The sequence below is a fragment of the Homo sapiens genome, chromosome 12, assembly GCF_000001405.40.
Source record: "Homo sapiens chromosome 12, GRCh38.p14 Primary Assembly".
Classification (NCBI taxonomy): domain Eukaryota; kingdom Metazoa; phylum Chordata; class Mammalia; order Primates; family Hominidae; genus Homo; species Homo sapiens.
The window spans coordinates 57,565,639-57,589,242 of record NC_000012.12 but is presented as its reverse complement, the minus strand read 5'-3'; the positions used below and the strand labels follow the sequence as shown (position 1 = coordinate 57,589,242).

The window sequence follows — 23,604 nt, the reverse complement described above, 5'->3', positions numbered from 1 at the left end:
AAAATCTTAGTCTTTGATCTTTCTTATAAGTGCATAGAAGAAAATGCTGACGTATGCTGCCTTCCCTCTCTGCTTTGGCTACCTAAAAGGGAAGGGACCCCTATCCCATGATCACGTGATTTGCTTGACCTTATCAATCACTTGGACAACTCACCCCTCCTTACCCTGCCCCTTGTCTTGTATTCAATAAATACCAGTGCGCCTAGCCATTAGGGGCCACTATCGGTCTCCGCGTCTTGGTGGCAGTGGTCCCCAGGCCTAGCTGTTTTCTCTTTATCTCTTTGTCTTGTGTCTTTATTTCTTACAATCTCTCGTCTCCGCACACAGGGAGAACACCCGCTAAGCCCAGTAGGTCTGGACCCTACAAGGAGTTCGAGACCAGCTTGACCAACATGGTGAAACCCCATCTCAACTAAAAATACAAAATTTAGCCGGGCGTGGTGGCGCACACCTGTAATCCCAGCTACTCAGGAGGCTGAGGCAGGAGAATCGCTTGAACTGGGGGAGGGGGGGTGCCAAGGTTGCAGTGAGCCGAGATCCTGCCACTGCACTCCAGCGTGGGCAACAGAGCAAGACTCCATCTCAAAAAAAAAAAAAAAAGGATCACTCAGGCATGTTCCTGGAGGATGACTTGAGTATTGCAAAAGTTCAGGGAGAGATAATGAACTAAAGCAGTGGCTGTTGTGTTTGAAAGAAGAGGGTGGCATCTAAAGATGCAGTTTGATGTCAACTTGGAAAATTCATATGAATGTGGGGATTGAAGGAAAAGGGAGGCATTGAGAGTGAGTCTAAGGCTTCTGGCTAATGATGATGATGATATCAGAGAGATGATGGTGACATGAAAAGGAGCAGATTCAGAGGAAGGTGAGTTCGGTTTGGAACATGTTTGAGGCATCTGAGGTCAGCTGGACACATGCTCCCGCAGCTGAGCAGAATGTTCTGGACTGGGGATACGGATTGAAGAATTGTGGAATCTGCAGGCATGGATGACATGTCTTAGAAAGAGCAAGGAAGGAACCAAGGGCTGAGCCCTGGGATAGAGCAGCATTTAAGAGGCCTGGGGAGGAAGACTCGGAAGGGTGGCCAGGGAAGTACAGGGAGCCAAGACAGCAGGGTCACAAAAGCCAAGGGGAGTTGAGTTTCAAGAAGGAAGGAGTGAAGAAGTATATGTCATGGAGAGGTGAAGCAAAACAAGGACTGTTGTCCAGAAGAAATGTCCACTGTATTTGGTAACTAATGCCATTTGGAAAAGCAGTTTTGAGCAGAACAAGAGGCAGATCAAGGTGGGCTAAGGAATGAATAGGGGGTGAGGAAGTGGGGATGGGAAGCTTGGGATGGTTTCTGGATATCTGACTTTAAGAAAACAAGTAAGATAGAGAAACACACAGTTAGAGAAACACACAGTAAAGGGAGGGACTCTTATGGGAAGGACCTTACAAGGAGATGAGACCACTGAGACAGGCATTAATAAAGAAGATGCACCGAGGCGGGCGGATCACTTGAGGCCAGGAGTTTGAGACAAGCCTGGCCAACATGGTGAAAACCCATCTCCATTAAAAATGCAAAAATTAGCCGGGCATGGTGGTGTGCACATGTAGTCCCAGATACTCAGGAGGCTGAAGCAGGAGAATTGCTTGAACCTGAGAGGCGGAGGTTGCTGTGAGCCGAGATTGTGCCGCTGCACTCCAGCCTGGGCAACAGAGCGAGACTCTGTTTTAAAAAAAAAAAAAAGATGCAAACTCCTCAAGTCTCCATCAGTTTATCAGTTTTAGATATGTTATATATTTGTATATTGAGATTCTATATCAGTATCTCAAGAATGAAATATCTAGAAGGGATTCACTTTAGCCCAGAGAAAGGAGATTTATCACTGGTCAGAAGGGAGAAGGAAAGGATAAGTGCAGACACAGATAGGTAATTGTGTAGGTGCATGTGGGCAGGGGGCAAGATAAAAGAATTTCAGGCTCAAGTGCCTTAGATGACAAAGTTGTTGCCTGACAGAGGAGGGTGGAAAGGGTGTAGACCCTTGCTCTGGGAGATAGGAGAGGAAAGTGAGAAGCACCGAAAGTCCGGGCAGGTTTGTAGGCTCTTCAGTTTTACTTGCCCCAGTTTTTTGGGTGTGCAGTTTTCTCCATCTGAGAAGCTTTGAGATATGAGCAGAGAAGAGAGGTGGAGTATGCTTTAAAATGGGGGTTGGAAGGGTGATTGTAGTGGATGATCCTGGGACAGGAATATTGATCTGTTGGCTGTGGAGAGATGGTGAAACACTGGAGTGGGAAGGAATTGATGCCAGGACTGAGACTGCTCTGGGTCAAAAATGAAAGAACAAGATAGTGCTTTTGGTAAAAATTACAAACAGTATAGATATCCACCAGTCGTAGACTGGTTGAATGAACTGTAGGATAAATATGTGAAAAATTATATTTTAATGAGGTCAATTGATATATATTGACATACAAAGATCTCCAGGATATATTGTCAAGTAGGAAAAAAATCAAGCCTTATGTAAATCTATAGAAAAACATCTGGAAGGATATATTCTATCAAGTTCCATTTCATCCAAAGAAGGCAGTGAGATTGGGAAGGGATAAAGAATATTTACAACAACATAGAGTTATCATTGAATTTATTTTATTTTAAAGTTATCTATGTACACCAAGTAAATACACACAGGGGGTTGCGCAGTTTGGTTTGTCTTCCACGCTGGCATGCAACATTTTGGCAGATGTGAGTGGGCAGGCCAGGTGCCCCTTGCAGTGACCCTGGCTCTGAAAGGGATGCGGTGAAGGTGGGGAGCAGGAGGAGGAGGAGGATGTAGTGTGAAGCTTCTGGTGAAGGGTTTGCGTGTGTGTTGTTTCTTTTTTATGTAAGTGAATTATATTTCCCTTACATCTTGCTAAAGAGAAGGCTGCTCCCTCTGTGTCATCTCTCTCCTCATCTGCGCTACACCCTCACATTTCCTTATGTGTTTTTAAAAGAACCATGTGGTGGCAACATTACATAAAACCCCCTGGATTCTTAAGTGCCCTGCTGACAGCAAATATTAGCCTAAGTCCACAGGCCCACAGGAACCTTCCTTCCACCCTAGTGGGTCTGGAGACAGCATGGCTTGTCTACCCCACCGTTGCCCTCTTTTCCATGAGTTGCAGCTTTAGTGCAGAGGAGCCAGATTGGACCCCCTTCCTCAGAACAATGGTTTTCAAACTACTCCACAGAATCCTCAGGGTCTCTTAGGACTGTTCAAGGGCTCATTTGCTGAGGAGCCTTTGAACAGTCAGTCCTAAGAGACGCTGAGACTTCTTCCACCAAAAAAAAAAAAAAAAAAAAATGCAAACTGCCCAGGTCTGCATTACTTTATTTTTTATATTGGGGTTCTATGTAAGATTTGTTTTTGAAAAACATTTAAAAATCACTGCTTTGGATTTATTCCACACTCCACTGGTATTTTTCCCCCTGCAGTTCTCCCTAACTGCTAAAAGGAGCTCAGCAGGTAAAGGGAGCAGGGCCTCTTTTCCTTGAAGGAGTCATGGGCCAGTGCAGCCTGCGCTTACCAGCTGGCATTCCCACTCAGCTTCCTTTCCTGACTTAGAAGTTGGGTGATAGGCTGCCCTGCCGCTGGAGAATCTTGGTCTTCCTCCTAGAAAAGACTGGATATCAGGACACCAGACTTTCTCTCCTGGTTTGGAATGGCTAGTGACCTCCATCCCTGCAGTTACCTAGAAAACCACCTTAGCACCATGTGGAAGGAAAGGACCGTCTGAAACTAAAACAACAGTCCTCTTCAGTATGGAGGGTGCTGCATATGGGCTGAGAATGGCTGGGAGAAGACCCCTCAGGGTCAAGCCTTAGAGCTTCCCACCTCTTGAAAATCCACCCTGCCCCTTTCTTTAAAGTGCACTTAATACCAGATGGGGACATTAGAGAAGGAACTCTTTGTGGAGAAAAAAAAAATGTACATTGGGGAAAAGTCAGGCTCCAGCTTGAAAGGAAGGCAACTAGAGAGATTTTGCCAATGAGCTGGAAGCCCCCAAACCAAGGGGTGGAGATGGGAGGAGCATGCCGCCCAGTATGGAACAAGAAAGAAATCCAGCTCATCACTTCAACTTGAGGGCACTGTGACAAAAAAAAAAGGCTCAGAAATTTCCCAGCCTATTCACCCCCAAACCCAAGGAATCAATCATTTTGACTACACCTGCCTGTAACCATCTCCATGGACAGATGAGCAGCCATTGACAGGCTGCTGGGAGCAGTCTGCCTCCTCCATTTTTCAAAATATTTTAAATCAGCTCTGGGTTCTGGTCATGAGCTCTGGGGCAGGGAATATCAAAAGGAGCTTGAAGAAAAAGGGAAATGGTCCCTTGAGCAACCCATTTCTCAGTCCAGGGGAAAACAGGAAGAGGGAGGCAAAAGGCAGACTTTGTAGGGCAGAAGTAACACCTGAATCCTTTGATTAAGGTGAGGGGTGTATGAAGAAAATTATATGTCTCAATTAGCAGCCCTTCCATTTTACCTTCCCCTGTGCTATATGTGAAAGAGGAGGGAGGAAGAGTCTATTTCTCTGTCTCATGATGCTAAGACATTCTTCTGCTTAAGGCTTTGTGTGTGTGCATGCGTGTGTGCATGTTTGTGTGCGTGCGTGCGTGTGTGTATGAAGGGTCACAACCCTCTAGCTCCCATTTTTCCTTTTGTCATCTCTGTGACCTCTACTCAGTGACTAACACCACTCAGTGTGAGACGAGTAGATGAGAAAGAAGAAACATTCACCCTCCTCCCTATTGCCCCAAATAAGGAAGGTAGACTATGCTTTGAAATTGCTAAATACATCAGTAGATACTTGAGAATAAGACAGAAGAGAGACATAGCAGCAGCTTTTGATATATAGATACAGAGTACAAAGAGATACAGAGTAAGTAAGAGAAGACATCAAACATAGTACAGTCCAACAACAGGGGTTGGGGAGGGAGTTAGTATCAGAGACCACAGGTTTGCAGCATGCTGAGAAGAGGCCTCAGTCCCTCTTAGAAACTGGGAAAGAAAGAGAAAGAGGGTGTGAGGGCCCAGCTTGTAGCTCAGTCACAGAACAGGAACAGGTGGCATCTGCACACACTTTGGTTTACTGTCCTGTTCCTTTAATACCAACAAGCAGACCCCCCTACCACCGCCCCCCGTGACCCAGGCTTGCACCTCCACCCCTAGGTCTCCCCAACTCCTCTTCTGCATTCCTACTTCTCTGCTTCTCAGACTTTTCTGCCTGTGTGTGCCTGGTTTACTATTCTGGGAAACCCCTGGAGAGGGCTCAGCTTAGATGCAGCCCAGTAAGAGACTGGCCATGTTCTCTGTGCCACTTCTGGGCCCTAAAGCAACCTTGGTGAGAAACCCAGTGACACACAAGAACAAAGAAGGTTCCTGTGCTGCTAGAGGAGAGCACCTGGGGACAGAGGAGGAAAAAGAGGGGCTTTGCCACCTCCACTGAGCAAGATGGGAGGGGAGCGCTGACTGATTTCGTGGGGCGTTTCCTAAAGCTTACTGGTGGCATATACAGATGGGAAGAGGATGGGACACAGGTGCAGGCGTGAAGCAAACATCGCCTTAACTGGAGATGTCTTAGTTCCAAAAACACCTATCCATCCAAAATTATTTCAGGGTGGAGGAAGAGGTGGGGTTGAGATGGCCCCCTAGGGTCTCCTGATAGATCTGCAGTCTACCACCCCTGTGGTTCTAATCTACAGCGGCCAAGCTCACTTCTTTGGACATGTGACAGTGACCCCTAGTGGCAAAAAGACAGTACTGTGGTTACCACTGTAGCCTAACGGAAAGCAAAAGGGGGCACGGGAGGTCAACGTCCAGATTACATGGGGCAGCACAGGTGTAGCCCCCAACAGGGGAAAGCAGGAGTTGAGGGGTAACTACATAATTAAAGTTTTGAGGTGATAAAAAAAAAAAGAAGCAGCAGCAGGAAAACCAAAGAGGCTGTCAGCAAGAAGGGAAGCAACCTGAGGCTGGTCCGAGGAAGCAGCCTGACGCTACCTGAAAGTGCAGGTATGCAGCCGTGGGTGTGGGAGATTAGCTGGCTGCTGTCTCTTGGTGGAGAGGGAAAAGCTTGGCCTGGTCCTCAGCCTCATAGCCACACGGCAGGTCACTCCTGGAGGAAGAGACCCACCATGATCAGCTCCATAGAAATTAAAGTATTCCTGTCATCATGGTTACTCTGCTCTGAGAGTGTCCCTGTGAGATCACAAACGGCAGGGACTATTTGTGTTTTACAGGAATACAGGGAAACTCAAGGCCAGAGGGATGTAAATGACTTGTCCAATGTCACAAGGCTTCCAAAGGTAGGAGAGAAACCCAGTCGTCAGATGCCCACGTTGTTTTCGTCCAGACCTTATCACTGGAATAGGGAGAAGCCACAGATGGGATTGGAGGAGGGGAGATATTCTGCACTGAGGCAGGGGAATGACTGGATCTCCTGGACAACACAGTGATGAAAAGAATGAGTCTCACTCCCTCCCCCTTCCCCAAAGGCTCCAGGAACCTCCAAGTGGGGCACAAGGGAAATTTAATCATTTCTTCTGGTCCCACCCAGAGAACCCAGGGGTAGTGGGGACTGTTGTACCTATTGTCATTGATATCTGTGGCATTTCCTGAAGAGATCATCATTGAGAACACAGGATTAGAAGAAGAAAAAAGGAGATTGGGTGTTAGAAACAGTTTGCGCAAACCCTCTCCCATCTTAATCCCTTAGAGAAAAAGATAAGCTGTGACACTTTCTCCTTAGTTATCCCAAGCTACATCATTATTTTGTTCGAGAAAAAGTTTCTGCAGCCCCTCACCAAGGAGAGGAAAAGGGAACTGGAAGGCAAGGGCTGGGATTGGCGTGGTAATAGGAGGAATCCACTCCCAGGCAGCCTGAGACCTAAAGGGCTGGGCAGTGCTCAGGCTGTAGGTACAGGGTCACTTTTTTCTTCATATGTGTTATTATTATTATTTTAGAGATGGGGCTTTACTATGCTGCCCAGGCTGAGTGCAGTGGCTATTCACAGGTGTATTCACAGTGCACTTCAGCCTTAAGCTCCTGAGCTCAAGCAATCCTCCTATCTCAACCTCCCAAGTAGCTAGGACTACAGGTGCATGCCACCACACCTGGCTATATGTATTTTTTTTTTTATTTGAAGCCTTGGCACACCAGAAAGGTTCAGTCAGTGTTTTTTGTACACTAAGGTCACTTACTTTTATGCCTCTCAACTTGCCCTGAGGACCCCAAAGGTGGGATTACCCATCTTTTTCACTCACCATTGTCCATGTTGGCCTTCTGGTAGGAAGCCAAGGGGCCGCCAGAAGATGTGGCTCCACTGCTGGTACAGGAGTTTGCAAAGCTGGATGGAGCAGAGGAAAGAGGCAGCCTCTGACACCCACCCTCCACTAGTCTGAGGACCACTAATCCACACTCATCCTCAGTGATAGAGCTGCTCAGCCCTCCCCATCCCCAGAGAGCAGAGGAAAACAAACATGGCCACAGGCTGGGAGGGCAGACACCTACCTTCTAATCATAGGCATGAAGTTGAGAAAGGGTTTAGGAAAATAATTAAGCCACAACCAATAACTGCCCCCACCCTATGCCTTCTAGGGTCCAGGGAGCTTTGGGTGGGACTCCAACCCACACGTGTGGTCACTCACTACATATCTGAGGTGGAGCTGGGTGTGGCCTGCAGGTAGAGATTCTGGTAGTTCTGGAAGAGGCTGTTGGTGTAACTGATGCACTCAGGGCTCCGGGTGCCATAGGGGTTGGTGGGTGAGGATGCTGGGTAGTGGCCAGGCCGGACGGGTTTGGCTGCAATAAAGAAAGAAAACAACCATGAGGAGGCTATGACCCTGCATTTGCCCTGGTCCCTGAGGTCATTTAGCTGGGGTTGAACTGAGTTGCTTGTAACATAATCACTTTTTTACTTTTTGGGGGGAAGTGGGATGAGGCTAGGGGTAGGTAAGAAGCAATAATCTAGTTGCTTGGCAATTAGCAATTTGCTAAATTTGCTTCAGGAGATACTCCCACCTTGCCTGCTAACACCTACTCACCAATCTGGGCAGAATGGCCCCGTTTGCCCGAGCTCTTGTAGCGAACGGCCTCCTTGATGCGGTCCACCTCCTGCTGGTACCGGCGCTTGTCCTTCATGGCGCCCTCCTTGGCCTCCTTCAGTGCACCCTCCAGGGCCTTAACTCTCTCAGCCGTAGCCCTAAGTCGTTTTTCCAATTTAGGAAGCTCACAACGCAGATCTGCATTGTCACGTACCAGCTATGGGGCAAGCCAAAGGGAAGAAGTGGAAAGGAAGGCAAGTGACCCAAGACGGTCACCCAGAGGAGCGTAGGGGACAGGGGTGAGGAGAGAGAATAAAGAAAAATCAGGAGTCAGAGAAGATGGAGACCATGTCATTTCCTCAAAAGGCCTCATTGCCTTTATGTAATGGACTGTTCTGTCCAGCTCATTCCTTCTCCCAGAGCGAAGGGTGGGTGGTCAGGCATTTAAAAGTTATATAATTTTCTAGGCAGTAAAACCTGCCATCTCCACTGCAGCCCAGAACTCTTGTGAGAGCGCCTTGTCCTGTCTCCATCTGGTTTCCCCCACATCTCCCAGCATGTGCCAGATCAATAGCCCCAGGGCGGCCATGGGGATGAGGGACCCGCTTCCCCAGAGAGGGCTTTGTGGGCATGCAAAGGGTGGGGCAGCAAGGGCACAGTAGCAGTTTGGTGGCTGTGGCATTGAGGAGAATCTGTGCATGGCAGGTGCAGTGCAGAGCAGGAGCAGAAGCTGGAATTCAGGAGCCCCTGACATACACATATAGACAGGCAGAGCCCGCCCCGTAGGAAGGAAAGAAAATGTTTGAGGTCTCACAAACATTTGCACTCATTACCTTCACATTCAAGGACTTCCTGGGTTATCCCTCCCCCAGTGAAATTAAGCTAGAGCATGGGAGCAACCACCCTGCAGCCCGAAAAGACTTCCTGATCTTTTTACAGGTTCCACACAATGACTGGGGGCACTATAGGTTGCAAAAGGAGCAGGGCCTTGGAAGACAGCGGGTAAATCAGCATAGCGGGGAACACTGGGGGCTCAAGGGGACAAGCTAGAAACCCTTCCATGCAGTTTCCATTTGGACAATTTATGGAGTATAAGCAATGTTTTGCTGTGACAATACTTTAGCTTAATTGATATAGGGCTATAGTCCTGGCTGTTAAGATTCTCTTAACTGAGAAGTTTTTATCTCCTTTTCCTTTTTACTCTTGTGTCTGCTGAGGTAGGAAATTGTAGTGAGTCCTCTATTTATCCTATAGGTGAGTCATTTTTGTTTTTTTGGGACTTTGAACAGAGGCAGAGGCTTCAGTGACGATAAAGGAAACAGTGTGTGGTTGTGTTTTTTCATGGAAATTTTTCTGGGGCTTGCTCCATAGAGCAGGGCTTTCCCATAGGCAGAGAGGCCCAGAGTAGCACACACATGTGTGTGTGTGTTCTAAGCAACATAATATGGATTTGGACAGAGAGGGAAAGTGAATGCGGGAATGAAAATCGAATGGCAGAATTGATTTCAAATGTTTCCTATCTGCCTTTCAACTTTTCTATAATTTTGTTACTCAGTTTCATAATAAAGGAAATAAAATCGTAGCAAAGCCCTCTGCAGGCCTAAATAAGATAAATAAACTCTGTACATTATCACTGGGCACAGGTTTAGGATTCATTAAGAAAAAAAAAAGTACTGAATATTTACTATATAAGCTGGGCATTATACTGGGAGGAAAAGAAGTTTAAGTGCTAGGCTAGTGAGAATGTAAGTTTAAATGGAATCTTAAGGTAGATTTGAAAGGAAAGGAATGAAGTATAGGTTAGGGTTTATTTTATGAATTAGTTAAAAGGACCAGTTGACAGCCTGCCGAGCCTGTCTTCAAGGCTCAGATATTTAGTGCTAGTGAGAGTGCCCCTACCCAGCATGCACCAAACATTTCCTGTCCTGACTCCTTTGGACTGCCCTTCTGCATCCCCAGCCCATACCTTTGAAACCCAGTCATCCACCTAAAGAACCGCAACAGCAAGGAGGGGGACAGAGAGGCAGCAACTTAATACACAGGAGTTTTGACTGGGGCCCCAACCAGGGGCTGGTTGGGCCATCTTAGGGACATCATTTTTTTTTAATTGAAACAGGGTCTCACTCTGTCACCTAGGCTGGAGTGCAGTGGCATGATCACAGCTCACTGCAGCCTCTACTTCCTGCGCTCAAGCAATTGCCCTACCTCAGCCTCCCAAGTAGCTGGGACTATGGGTGTGTGCCACCACATCCGGCTAATTTTTGTATTTTTTGTAGAGATGGGGTTTCGCCATGTTGCTTAGGCTGGTCTTGAACTCCTGTGCTCAAGTGATCCGCCCGCCTCGGCTTCCTGAAGCGCTGGGACTACAGGCATGCACCACTGTGCCTAGCCAGGGACATCATTTAATGTCCCTGCATGCCTGCCACAGACCTAGACAGATGGAGTTCTCTCCACGAAAGAAGCCCAACTCCCTTGCTTCTTCTCATCTCCCTGCCTTCCATCTCTGGGTAACGTCTGACCAGTCTCCCTCCTGTATAGTTACAGCCCATGCCTCTGTTAGTTTCAACCTCTCCCTCCAAGGTAGGCCTGGGGAATTCCACTTTGAGCAGAGGTGGGTTAGAAACTTTGAGAAGGGAATACAGGCATGAAACAAAGAACAAGGTACAAGTGGACCAAATATGGTATAAAGAAGGGATTAGTAGGGAAAGTAAAAGCGAACAGTAAGGAAAACATGCAACTAGATTTTCCTGAATCCAAGGGGCCTCTGAGGATTTGGTATGCTAGCTACCCGGCCTCAAAAATTCTCTTCACTCCTTCAGCAGACTCTTACCTGTTTGTGAACCTTTGTAAGCTGTTCCAGGTTGTTCTCAAGAAAGGAAATCTTCTGCTTTTGGGAGTGAATCCCCCCACTGTCTTCGGGCTCCATTTCTGCACTCTGAGAACAGATAGAAGGAAAGACGTGGCTGTCCTGAGGCCAAACAGGTCCCACCAAGACCAGGCCAAGCCAGCCCCATAGGGGCAACAGGGGCAGGAGAAACCTAAGGATAGGAGGAGGATGTGGGGGCTGACAAAACCCCAAGGACAGCACTCACTTTCTTGACTCGAGTCGTGACGTCTTGAACGAACAGCTTGCGAAGGTTGTGGAGGGTCTGGAGTTCCCGGGCCTGGAAAGAATGATGAAAAATTGGGAATAGCCAGATACCAGGTCTGTCCTATTCCTCCAGAATTATAGGTACCTCCAGTCTCTATAATCAAGTGAGTCACTTATCCTTTAGGAAAAAATGTGTCTTGATTACGCTACAGAATGGCTGCAAAAGGGCAGGAGGAATAGGGTTAGGAAGAAATGAAGCCTCCCCACTCCCCAGTCCTGTGAATTTGGCACAGAAGGGAACCACTCACAACTGTCTCCTCCAGACCCTTGAGGTCCTGCTTGGACTGCTCATGTCGCTCGTACAGAAATCTGTAGCAAGAGAAATAAGGGAAATGGAAAGATCCCTCAGGACTCTCCTTCCTCCTGCCTCTTCCTCTATTACTTTTATCTCCATTTAAGTATTACTATTATTGTTATTTTGTGAAACAGGGTCTCATTCTGTTACCTAGGCTAGATAGAGTACAGTGGCACAATCAGGGCTCACTGCAGCCTCAACCTCCTGGGCTCAAGGGATCCTTCCCACCTCAGCCTCCCAAGCATCTGGGACCACAGACGTATGCCACCATGCCCAGCTAATTTTTGTATTTTTAGTAGAGACAGGGTTTTGCCATGTTGCCCAGGCTGGTCTCGAACTACTGAGCTCAAGCAGTCCACCTGCTTTGGCCTCCCAAAGTGCTGAGATTATAGGTGTAAGCCATCGCACCCAGCCTATTATTATTTATTACACAAGTTACTCATGTTTACTGTGCAAAAATTAGAAAAGAATTTTAAAGAGAGACATAAGGTGAGTTTTTATAAAAAGCCTATGATTCTACTATTTACAGATCAAACCAACATTAACCTTCTGGTGTCCACCTTTCTAGACTTTTTTCTATGCCTACATATCCATGTATACATTTTTATGGGATCATACCATGCATATGGTTTTGTAACCTGTTTTTACACTGAATAGAACACGTAAACCTCCTTCCATACTGGTGAATACTCAACGGCAGTCTTTGCTGAGAGTGTCCTTTTGGTCCCGTCCCTACCCCATCATATTTTTCCCATGAGTCACCCTATCATGTCTGCATGTGTGTCCTGCCTCTGCAAGCGTGTCTGAGTTCACAGTTCTGAGCCTACAAGGCTGTAGTTTTACAGGTAAATCCATGCCACTCACGTCAGCTCCTGCAGCTTGGTGCTCTTCTCGTGTTCTTCGCTCTTCAGCTTCTCGTAGTCAGCCTGAAGCTTCTCTAGCTCTAACTGGAGCTTCTGATTTAGGCTACAGAGCATCAGAAGGTAATGGAGATGGGGGAGAAAGATGTTAATGAGGGGGAAGGGAAGGCCAGCTCTTCAAACTTCTTCCTTTTTGAACGAGTGAGTCCAGTTAGAATTGATGTGTCCACCTTCAGATACCAGAGGCAGACTCAGGCCACTGTTTCCATGACAGAGCCAGGAACCCTGACCTCTCTAATCCTGGGACCCTCAAGGATAGGGACTAGTCGTTATTCCATGTGTCTCCTGAGGTGGGGCTACGAAGTTGTGGCATTGTTGAGGGAATGACACATGGATGTTAAAGAATCAGACCCAGAGGGGACATGTGAGTCAATACAGCAAGGTGACAGGACCCGGGAGGGGCTGGAGTCGCCCTTGGGAACCCTTACTCTTTGAGCTCATCAATGGTCTTCTGCTTCTCGTTGATCTCGTCCCGGAGCCGGGCCAGCTGCCGGTGATGGGCCTCCCGGTGACTCTCCATCTGCAGCTCCAGAGCCTTCTGCAAACAACCCCACCCCAAGCTCAAAGGCCAGACTCCCAGCAACAAGCTCTGTGAGGGCCAGCACAGCTTTCACCACACCAGGCCCCAATTGTCCCTGACACCTTCCTTACTCACCTTCACTTCATCTGCATCCTGAGTGTCAGGCTCCTTGTCCTTCAGGGCCACTTCATGCACAGTTTCTAAGGGAAAGAGGGGAAGACAGCTGACATCAAACCTACCTCTTTCGGAAAGAACTTCACGTTGTGACCAGAACTCCAGGCAGGGCTGGGAATGGACCCACAGGGATGTTCTTCTGTGTTAGGACTGTCCAATTTGATATAGCAGGAACAGAGAACAAGGGTGTATGGTTAATGTAAAATGAGCTACATGCAAAACCTTGGCTAACATATGAGTTGGCATCCATGATTTCAAGCTAATGCTTTGAGTGAGTGATTATTGGGGTGATTTATTTTGATGTTTCTGACTTTTCTGCCCTGGACAGTGGGATGGAGGTATAAGAAGGCCTCACCCTGGGCCTGGAGCTTGGCCAGCTCATCGCTCAAGGAGTCATAGGACTCTTCCAGGTGCCGCTTCTTTAGCTCCACGCTCTGCATGTATTCCGTAAGCGAGCGGATCTTGGCCTCATGCTGGTGGGAGAAAGTTGGTGAGAGGAAGAAGATGGAGCAAAGGACACAAACCCAGGCCACACAGATCTCCAACTCCAGCTCTCCTCCCAGCCCTCCCTCCTGCTACACTTCCCATGAGGGTGCAGGGTTGGGGGCCATTCCTATGGGGCTCTTCCTTTAGCTCCCATGGCTCAGGGGGCAGTACCCGCCCTGAGCCTTTACTTTTTTGGCCCTGATCTGCACCCCTGCCACCCCAGCTTTTCTGTCCTTGATTTCACTTGACCCCAGAACTTTGACATAAAGGTGGGTGTTAGGAGTTTTAGCCATAACCCCAGAGTAGCCTTCTTTCTCCCATGGCATCTGAAGGTTCTCAAACTTAGGCACTCACCTGAGAGATGAGGAGCTGGCAGGATGAGAGCTCCCGCCCGGTCACTTCCATCTTGCGGTGACACTCCACCTGGAGGTTCTCCAGCTGCCGGCACCGCTTGACCACAGACTTGACTTCTGATTTGATTTTGCTGATGTAGAGTCGGGCCACAGTGAACTCCTCCTCGATGGCCCCACTGATCTCCACTGGCTAAGGTGATTAAAGGAGGAAGAGATGCTTCTTGGCTGCTGGGAAGCTTTATCTGTTCCCTCCCACCTTCTACCTACCCATACACACCCACATACGCAGGGACTCAAATGGGATGGGTATTTTCCAAACGACCTTTAGCAGCTCTCTATCAGCGGCATTTCACATTAAATTCCTCCGCCTGCATTTAAAAATCCAATTCTGGCTGGGCGCAGTAGCTCATGCCTTGTAATCTCAGCACTTTGGGAGGTCAAGGTGGGTGGATCACCTGAGGTCAGGAGTTCGAGACCAGCCTGACCAACATGGTGGTGAAACCCTGTCTCTACTAAAAATACAAAATTAGCCAAGCATCATGGCACATGCCTGTAATCCCAGCTACTCAAGAGGCTGAGGCAGGAAATTGCTTGAACCCAGGAGGCGGAGGTTGCAGTGAACCGAGATCACACCACTGGACTCCAGCCTGGGCGACAGAGTGAGACTCCATCTCAAAAAAAAAAAAAAAAAATCCAATTCTGGGCCGGGCTCGGTGGCTCACGCCTGTAATCCCAACACTTTGGGAGGCCGAGGTGGGTGGACTACGAGGTCAGGAGTTCGAGACCAGCCTGGCCAATATGGTGAAACCCTCTCTCTACTAAAAACATAAAAAATTAGCCAGGAGAGGTGGTGTGTGCCTGTAGTCCCAGCTACTCGGGAGGCTGAAGCAGAAGAATTGCTTGAACCTGGGAGGCGGAGGTTGCAGTGAGCTGAGATCACACCACTGCACTCCAGCCTGGGCAACAGAGCAAGACTCCATCTCAAAAAAAAAAAAAAATCCAATTCTGACAGTCCCCCACTTACAAATAAATCTTATAAAGCAACATGATTTTCTTTTGATCTCCTTGATCACCCAGATTATTCTCACATCCACAGATTTGCATATTTCATTCTGAACTCTGTGCCTATGCCCCACCTCTAACTCCTACTGCAAGCACTGCTCTGTTGCTGCTGCTTTTTTTTTTTTTTTTTGAGACAGAGTCTCCCTCTGTCACCCAGGCTGGAGTGCAGTGCCGCATCTCTGCTCACTGCAAGCTCCGCCTCCCAGGTTCACGCCATTCTCCTGCCTCAGCCTCCTGAGTAGCTGGGACTACAGGCGCCCGCCACCATGCCTGGCTAATTTTTTGTATTTTTTTAGTAGAGACAGGGTTTCACTGTGTTAGCCAGGATGGTCTCAATCTCCTGACCTCGCCTCGGCCTCCCAAATTTTTTTTTTTTTTTTTTTGAGACGGAGTTTCACTCTTGTTGCCCAGGCTGGAGTGCAATGGTGCAATCTCGGCTCACTGCAACCTCCGCCTCCAGGTTCAAGCGATTCCCCTGCCTCAGCCACGTGAGTAGCTGGGATTACAGGCATGAGCCACCACACCCGGCTAATTTTATATTTTTAGTAGACACGGAGTTTCTCCATGTTGAACAGGCTGGTCTCGAACTCCTGACCTCAGGTGATCCACCCGCCTCGTCCTCCCAAAGTGCTGGGATTACAGGCGTGAGCCACCATGTACAGCCTCTTTTTTTTTTTTTTTAAGACAAGGTCTGGCTCTGTCACCCAGGCTGGATTGCAGTAGCTCAATCATGTCTCACTGCAGCCTCAACCTCCCATACTCAGGTGATTCTCCCACCTCAGCCTGTCAAGTAGCTGGTACTATAGGTGTGTGCCACCACCCCCAGCTAATCGTTTGTATTTTTTGTAGAGATAGGGTTTCACTATGTCACCCAGGCTGGTCGTGAACTCCTGGGCTCAAGCGATCCGCCTGTCTCAGCCTCCCAAAATGTTGGGATTACAGGCATGAACCACCATGCCTGGCCTCCATTGCTTCTTTATTCAGCACCCGTTAGAATTTAGTTTTGTTTTGTTTTGTTTTTAAGGCAGAGTCTCACTCTATAACCCAGGCTAGAGTGCAGTGGTGTGATCTCAGTTCACTGCAACCTCTACCTCCCAGGTTGAAGCGATTCTCCTGCCTCAGTCTCCTGAGTAGCTGGAATTACAGGTGCACATCACCACGCCTGGCTAATTTTTGTATTTTTAGTAGAGACAGGGTTTCGCCATGTTGGCGAGGTCAGGTCTCGAACTCCTGACCTCAAGTGATCCGCCTGCCTCGGCCTCCCAAAGTGCTGGGATTACAGCGGTGAGCCACTGCGCCCAACCTAGAATGTATCTTTTCAATTGGGTCTATACAAGCCTCTACCTGTCTTCCTGGGTCTAGTTCAAAGGCATGTTTCCTGGCTCTCTGGCTGCCTTTCTCAGTATCTGTGAAGGCCTGGATGGCTCATCTTGCGTCTTCCACTAGTGCCCAGCCTGAACAAGGCTGCTGTCTCTCACCACTCACCAGCTTAATCTCCCCGTTGCCCACAATGACACTGAACTCGCTCAGATCCTTCATCAGCCCGTTCAGCACCTCAGCAATTCGTTTTCGCTGGTGTCCACTGACCTCCTGTAGCCGCTGCAACTCAGACTCCAGGGACAGCATGGTGGCCTGGGGACAGCCCCTCAGGTCATTCCTGTTGCCATCCTCCTGCTCCCTTGCCCAGCCCAGGCAGAGGCCTCTCCCTTCATGCAAGACCCTGAGGGCTGCTATGAAGAGAACACAGGCCCTGCAGAAGAGTCTGAAAGACAGAGGGACTGTGAGGGGAAAGTGCAGTGACAGGGTTGGGGAGGGACTCACAATGCACTGAACAGCAGTGCAGAGGTGCAGCCACCATACAGCCCTGGAAGGATGCAGAGGTCCCCTCGACATGGGAGATGTTCTGTGGTCAGGGAGCTGTTGGACCATTGGCACACCACTTACCACCTTCTGAGACAGCTCATCCACCAGAAGCTGGTTCTGCTGGCTCTTCTCCTCCACCTCCTGGGACTTCTGGTCATAGTTCACAGCCAGCTCCTCCAGGGCCTGCAGCACTTCCTTCACCTCATCCTTAGCGGCATCGTTCTCTGATTGCAGGTGGCTCAGCTCCCGCTGGACCTTCTCGTTGTCTCCTCGGGTGGACACCAGCAGCTTCAAGGGAGAGGAGTGGCATGTGGGAAAGATCACTGCCAGTGACCATTTCTATGGCCTTGGGTCTGGGAAGCTGAGCCCCCACCCTACCCAAAATAAAGAGTTAAGAGGAAGTGGGCTTTAGGTTTCATAGAAATAGGGCAACAGAATGAAGAATGAAGAAGCCCCCAGACTTTAAAATTTGTGCTTTAAGAAAAGCCCCAGCCGGGCGCAGTGGCTCACGCCTGTAATCCCAGCACTTTGGGAGGCCTAGGTGGGCACATTGCCTGAGCTCAGGAGTTCGAGACCAGCCTGGGTAACATGGCAAAACTCCATCTCTACAAAAATTAGCCATGTGTGGTGGTGCACTTGTAGTCCCAGCTACTTAGGGGGCTGAGGCAGGAGGACTGCTTGACCCTGGAAGATCGAGGCTGCAGTGAGCTGAGATTGCCCCACTGCATTCCAGCCTAGGTAACAAATTGAGACTCCATCTCTAAAAAAAAAAAAGAAAAGAAAAAAGGAAAAGAAAAGAAAAGCCCCAGTGAGGTTCCCAGACTTCTGCTGTTTAGGGGAGTGATTAATCCCCAAGCAGAAAGCGCCTTCTTCCATCTGATTTTAAAAAGGTCTATTCCATGCCTTCCAGTGATGAACAGAACCCCTTTCCTCTCATGTCCTGCCCTCCCTCCTATTACCTCTTCCTGGTCCAGCATTTGCTGCTTGAGCTTCTCTATGAGTTGGCTTTGTTGGTTGATTTCATCATCCTGTTGGAGGCAACAGGGAAAGACAGGTGAAGGGAAGCTACTCCTTCCAGTTTAGACGTAAGAAGTTTGGGGGTAGAGGCAGGATCCTGATAAAAATCCAGATAGTATAAGCTTTGAGTTAGAAACCCCATATCCTACAGGAAGATCGGTTGAAGCCAGGAGTTCAAGGCCAACCTGGGCAACATAGTGAGACCCTGTCTCTACAAAAAATTTAAAATATTAGCTAGCCTGGTGGTGCATGCCTTTAATCCCAGCGCATTGAAAGGCCAAGGCGGGAGGATCGCTTGAGGCCAGGAGTTTGAGACCAGCCTGGGCAACAAAGTGAGACTCCAACTCTACCAAAAAAAAAAAAAAAAAAAAATTAGCTGGGCGTGGTGGTGTGCACCTGTAGTCCCAGCTCTTTCAGAGGCTGAGGTTGGGGGGGATCCCTCGAGCCCAGGAGTTTGAGGTTGCAGTGAGCTATTACTGCACCACTGCACTTCAGCCCGAGTAACAAAGCAAGACTCTTTCTCTCAAAGCAAAATAATAATAATAAATGAAAATAAAAATACTTTTATGAAGAATTATTAATGAAGTAGGAAATTGTGCATAATATAATGCTGAATGAAAAAAATCAGATGTATAATTACATATACAGGCCGGGCACGGTGGCTCACGCCTGTAATCCAAGCACTTCAGGGGGCCGAGGCGGGCGGATCGCCAGAGGTCAGCCTAGCCAACATGGTGAAACCCCGTTTCTACCAAAAATACAAAAATTAGCCAGGCGTGGTGGCATGCGCCTGTAATCCCAGCTACTCTGGAGGCTGAGGCAGGAGAATCACTTGAACCCGAGAGGCAGAGGTTGCAGTGAACCACAATCGTGCCTCTGCACTCTAGCCTGGGCGACACAGCAAGACCCTGTCTCAAAAAAAAAAATTACTTATACAGTATAACTCAATTGCATGGTATATGCACAGAGAAAAGCAAAATGTTGAGTGTTATCTCTGAATAGTGGATGATTTTAATTTTCTTACATACATTTATATTGATGTTTCCACATTTCAAGCATAAGCATTTATCCCTTTTAAAACCAGAAAGAGGCAATATAAGCGATTTTCTTTGATCGTCTACCTCTCATCCCACCTGGCGTGCCTCAGTGCCCTGCCTGGCCGCCCTCACCTTGTCGTCAAGCTGCTTATAGAGACGGCGGATCTCCTCCTCGTATTTCTGCCGCTCCTCGGGCGCGATGCGCACCACGATGGATGAGTTGTCATTCACAGGGGTCTCCTCACAGAGCTCGGCTCCCAGGGCTGCCTCCTCCCCAGCCAGGCGCTCTGTCTCAGGCACATTCTCTCCTGCAAAGGGGCAAGACGAGGTGAGAGATGGAAGAAGAAGAAGCTGCATCCACGAGTTCTTCCTTCTCACTCACCATGCCCCTTGAACTCTCTTGCCAGGTGGACCCTCTACCTTTTGGGAGTATGGGAGGTAGGTAGTCAGGCCCCTCCCTTCCCCCATGACTGCTCTACTGCACCTGTCCAGAAACACAGCCCCTCTTCTAGGAGATTGGCCTGGCCAGAAACACCACCCAAACAGAGTTGGCTCCCAAACATCCTCCTCCTCTTCCCACTGCCCCTCACTCCCACCTATCCCTCTCTAACCATTGCGCCACCGGCTCAGCTCAGCCTCCAGCTTCGCAATCGTCTCCTTCTGGGCCTTTGTCTTCTCCTTCTCCTTCTCATATTTCTTCTTCCACTGCTCAGCAGTCAACTCCAAATTTACTGAGGCAGTGTTCTTAATGGTCTTTGCCCTGGGTGAGGAGAAGAGGAACAAAGAAATGAGAGCAACATGAGACTTGGGTGACCCTGAGGAGAGAGAGCCGCAGAGGCTGGGATGGGAAGCTGGGTACCAGGGATCCCTCTGGGGACCCTGCCACTGACCGCTGCCCAAACATCAGGGTGGACTTGGTCTCTGCATCATTATAACTGGATGGTGAGCAACAGATGAACATAGTCGTCCGGCAGTTTCCCCCGAGAGAGTCCTGGAGAATCCTTGTCATTTTGCTGTCACGATATGGAACATAGCTTTTCTGGGGGAGGAAGGAGACCAGGAATCAGAAATAAACAAATAAAATTCAACAGGGAATCAGAAAGGATAGTGGTGCCACCCCGGGATCAGACAACCCATGAATTGGGGCATGATCATATGGTGGCATTAGCAGGTGGGGGAGGAGATGGGGTGTGGCTTGAGGGGTGAGGGGACCTAAGGATCACTCACAGTGCCCTCAGCCAGTGCGGAGATCACATTGCCCAGAGCTGACAGTGACTTGTTGATATTCTTTGCCTCGTCCAGCACGGCTCCCTCTGCTCCAGTCTTGCTGACCTACCAGGGCAGTAAGAGATGAGTGTGTATGAGCAGCTGCACATGGAGAGGGCTGTCACCACCTCGTTCCAGGGCTCAGTCCACGGAGGAAGGAAGGAACAGGGAAGAAGATGGAGTAACAGAGATGCTTGGCTGGGATTGGGGAAGGCCCTTCCTCTGTTCCCCTAAACTGTCTTGTCAAACACCACATTGCCCCTAACCCCTGCCACATATTACATGATTCCTTTTTTTTTTTTTGAGATGGAGTTTCACTCTTGTTGCGCAGGCTGGAGTGCAATGGTGCGATCTCAGCTCACCACAACCTCCGCCTCCCAGGTTCAAGCGGTTATCCTGCCTCAGCCTCCTGAGCAGCTGGGATTACAGGCATGTGCCACCACGCCCAGCTAATTTTGCATTTTTTGTAGAGATGGGGTTTCTCTATGTTGGCCAGGCTGGTCTCGAACTCCCGACCTCAGGTGATCCACCCACCTCGGCCTCGCAAAGTGCTGGGATTACAGGTGTGAGCCACCGTGCCCAGCCATATGATTCCATTTATATGAAATGTTCAGGATAGGCAAATCCATAGAGACAGAAAGTAGATTAGAAGTTGACAGGGGATGGGGTTAGGGGACAATGGAGAGTGACTGTGAATAGAAGATGACAGTGCTCTAGAATTGGATAGCGTAATGGTTGCACAACCTTGGGAACATACTACAAACAACTGAATTGCACTTTAAAATGGTGAACTTTATGGTATGTGAATTATATCCCAATGCAAATCATTTTTTAGTTAAAAAAGAGTCGGCCGGGCACAGTGGCTCATGCCTGTAGTCCCAGCACTTTGGGAGGCCGAGGCAGGTGGATCCCGAGGTCAGGAGTTCGAGACCAGCCTGGCCAACATGGTGAAACCCCGTCTCTACTAAAAATACAAAAATTAGCTGGGCTTGGTGGCGGGAGCCTGTAATCCCAGCTACTAGGGAGGCTGAGGCAGGAAAATCACTTGAACCTGGGAGGCAGGGGTTGCAGTGAGCTGAGAGCGTGCCACTGCACTCCAACCTGGGTGACAGAGCAAGAATCCGTCTCAAAAAAAAAAAAAGAGCCAAGGACCAGCCTGGCCAACACAGTGAAATCCCCTCTCTACTAAAAATACAAAAAATTAGCCAGGCGTGGTGGTGGGCACCTGTAATCCCAGCTACTTGGAAGGTTTAGGCAGGAGAATCACTTAAACCCAGGAGGCGGAGGTTGCAGTGAACAGAGATCGTGCCACTGCAAACCAGCCCGGGCGACAGAGTGAGACTCTGTCTCAAAAAAAAAAAAAAAAAGAGCCAAGGCTTCCACCCACCCCATATCCACAGGACCCCCTACCTTCTCACTCCCTGCCAGGTCCACCAGATACAGCTTCCCACTGAGCTTCTGCTCCGTTTCCATGTTCTCCTGCTTGATGTTGATGAGGAAGATGCTGTGGCTCCGAGAGCTGTGTTCATTCATGTCTGCAGGAGCAAGGGAGAAACAGGACCTGCACCACCCTGCAGAACTGAGGTCCTCAGCCCCCGGCTTCCACTGACCCCAGCCCCGCCCACCCAGAGAGAAGGTGCCCACCAGGACTAGCCCTGCTGCCACATCTCCCAGGCAGCAGGGTCCCACAGACAAGGGGTCCTCCTCCTCTGGGGGGTACAGTTTCCTTGCTCACTTTTGAGTCCCTCCACCCCAGAGGACACAGAACACAAGTGGATCCTCAGACTCGAGAGATCCCCTTGTATCCTCACTCACTGGTGACAGCCACATGACGATTTGATTTCCCTTCATCAATCACATCCAGAATCTCCTCCGGGCTGGACACAAAGCGTTCAGTACAACCCTGTGGGGGACAAATGGACAGTGACCCATAAGCTTTGTTTTTTAAGTTTGTATTTATTTATTTATTTTTATTATTATTATTTTCTTTTGAGATGGAGTCTCGCTCTGCCCAGGCTGGAGTGCAGTGTCAAGAATCTCAGCTCACTGCAACCTCCACCTCCCAGGTTCAAGCGATTCTCTTGCCTCAGCCTCCAGAGTAGCTGGGATTACAGGCATGAGCCAACACGCCCGGCTAATTTTTGTATTTTTAGTAGAGACGGGGTTTCACCATGTTGGTCAGGCTGGTCTCAAAGTCCTGACCTCGTGATCCGCCTGCCTTGGCCTCCCAAAGTGCTGGGATTACAGGCTTGAGCCACCATGCCCTGCTTTGTATTTATTTTTATCTTACGTATTTACTACTTTTTTGAAACAGTGGCGGGCATGGTGGCTCACGCCTGTAATCCCAGCACTTTGGTTTGGGAGGCCAATGTGGGTGGATCACCTGAGGTCAGGAGTTCGTGACCAGCCTGGCCAACATGGCAAAATCCCATCTCCACTAAAAATACAAAATTAGCCAGACGTGGTGGCACATGCCTGTAATTCCAGCTACTCAGGAGGCTGAGGCAGGAGAATCACTTGAACTCGGGAGGCTGAGGTTGCAGTAAGCCAAGATCGGGCGCCACTGTACCCCAGCCTGGGCAACAAGAGAGAAACTCTGTCTCAAAAAAAAAAAAACACTGTCGCAGCCAGGTGCAGTGGCTTATGCCTGTAATGCCAGCACACTGGGAGGCTGAGGTGGGCGGATCACCTGAGGTCAGGAGTTCGAGACTAGCCTGGCTAACATGGTGAAACCCCATCTCTACTAAAAATACAAAAATAAGTGGGCCTGGTGGCAGGCACCTATAATCCCATATGCTTGGGAGGCTGAGGCAGGAGAATCACTTGAACCCAGGAGGCAGAGGTTGCAGTGAGCCAAGATCATGCCATTGCACTACAGCCTGGGTGACAGAGTGAGAATCTGTCTCCAAAAACAAAAACAAACAAACAAAAAAAACCACTGTCTCTCTACTACACAGGCTGGAGTGCAGTGGCACTATCATGGCTCACTGCAACCTCAAACTCTTGAGCTCAAGCAATTCTCCCGCCTCAGCCTCCTGAGTAGCTGGGACTACAGGTGTGTGCCACCATGCCTGACAAAAATTTTTTTTTTTTTTTAAACAAGAGACTCAGCATAGTGGCTCATGCCTGTAATTCCAGCACTTTGGGAGGCTGAGGCAGGTGGATCACCTGAGGTCAGGAATTAGAGACCAGCCTGGCCAACATGGTGAAACCCCGTCTCTACTAAAAATACTAAAATCAGCCAGGCGTGGTGGCACATGCCTGTAGTCCCAGCTACTCGGGAGCCTGACGCAGGAGAATCGTTTGAACCCAGGACAGGGAGGTTGCAGTGACCCTAGGTCGAGCCACTGCACTCCAGCCTGGGCAACAGAGTGAGACTCTGTCTCCAAA

The 23,604-nt window shown here is 49.0% G+C and overlaps 1 protein-coding gene across 2 annotated transcripts in view; it reads right to left on the bottom strand.

Annotated features, from left to right (window-relative positions):
* KIF5A (kinesin family member 5A) overlaps positions 2,610-23,604 on the bottom strand; it is a 36,590-nt gene continuing 15,595 nt past the window's right edge. For both annotated transcript variants that reach the window (NM_004984.4, NM_001354705.2), the window contains 23 exons: positions 22,030-22,117; positions 21,625-21,749; positions 20,176-20,280; positions 19,839-19,987; positions 19,560-19,708; positions 19,081-19,256; positions 17,854-17,922; positions 16,976-17,182; positions 16,517-16,663; positions 13,971-14,159; positions 13,486-13,603; positions 13,092-13,156; positions 12,865-12,974; positions 12,381-12,482; positions 11,470-11,530; positions 11,163-11,234; positions 10,901-11,005; positions 8,071-8,287; positions 7,675-7,828; positions 7,291-7,373; positions 6,614-6,641; positions 6,028-6,142; positions 2,610-5,025 (listed from right to left, as the gene is read on the bottom strand). In NM_004984.4, coding sequence (NP_004975.2) covers positions 6,064-6,142; positions 6,614-6,641; positions 7,291-7,373; positions 7,675-7,828; positions 8,071-8,287; positions 10,901-11,005; positions 11,163-11,234; positions 11,470-11,530; positions 12,381-12,482; positions 12,865-12,974; positions 13,092-13,156; positions 13,486-13,603; positions 13,971-14,159; positions 16,517-16,663; positions 16,976-17,182; positions 17,854-17,922; positions 19,081-19,256; positions 19,560-19,708; positions 19,839-19,987; positions 20,176-20,280; positions 21,625-21,749; positions 22,030-22,117 — 2,598 coding nt within the window. In that variant the 3' untranslated portion in view covers positions 2,610-5,025; positions 6,028-6,063. The remainder of the gene's footprint in view (positions 5,026-6,027; positions 6,143-6,613; positions 6,642-7,290; positions 7,374-7,674; positions 7,829-8,070; positions 8,288-10,900; positions 11,006-11,162; positions 11,235-11,469; positions 11,531-12,380; positions 12,483-12,864; positions 12,975-13,091; positions 13,157-13,485; positions 13,604-13,970; positions 14,160-16,516; positions 16,664-16,975; positions 17,183-17,853; positions 17,923-19,080; positions 19,257-19,559; positions 19,709-19,838; positions 19,988-20,175; positions 20,281-21,624; positions 21,750-22,029; positions 22,118-23,604) is intronic.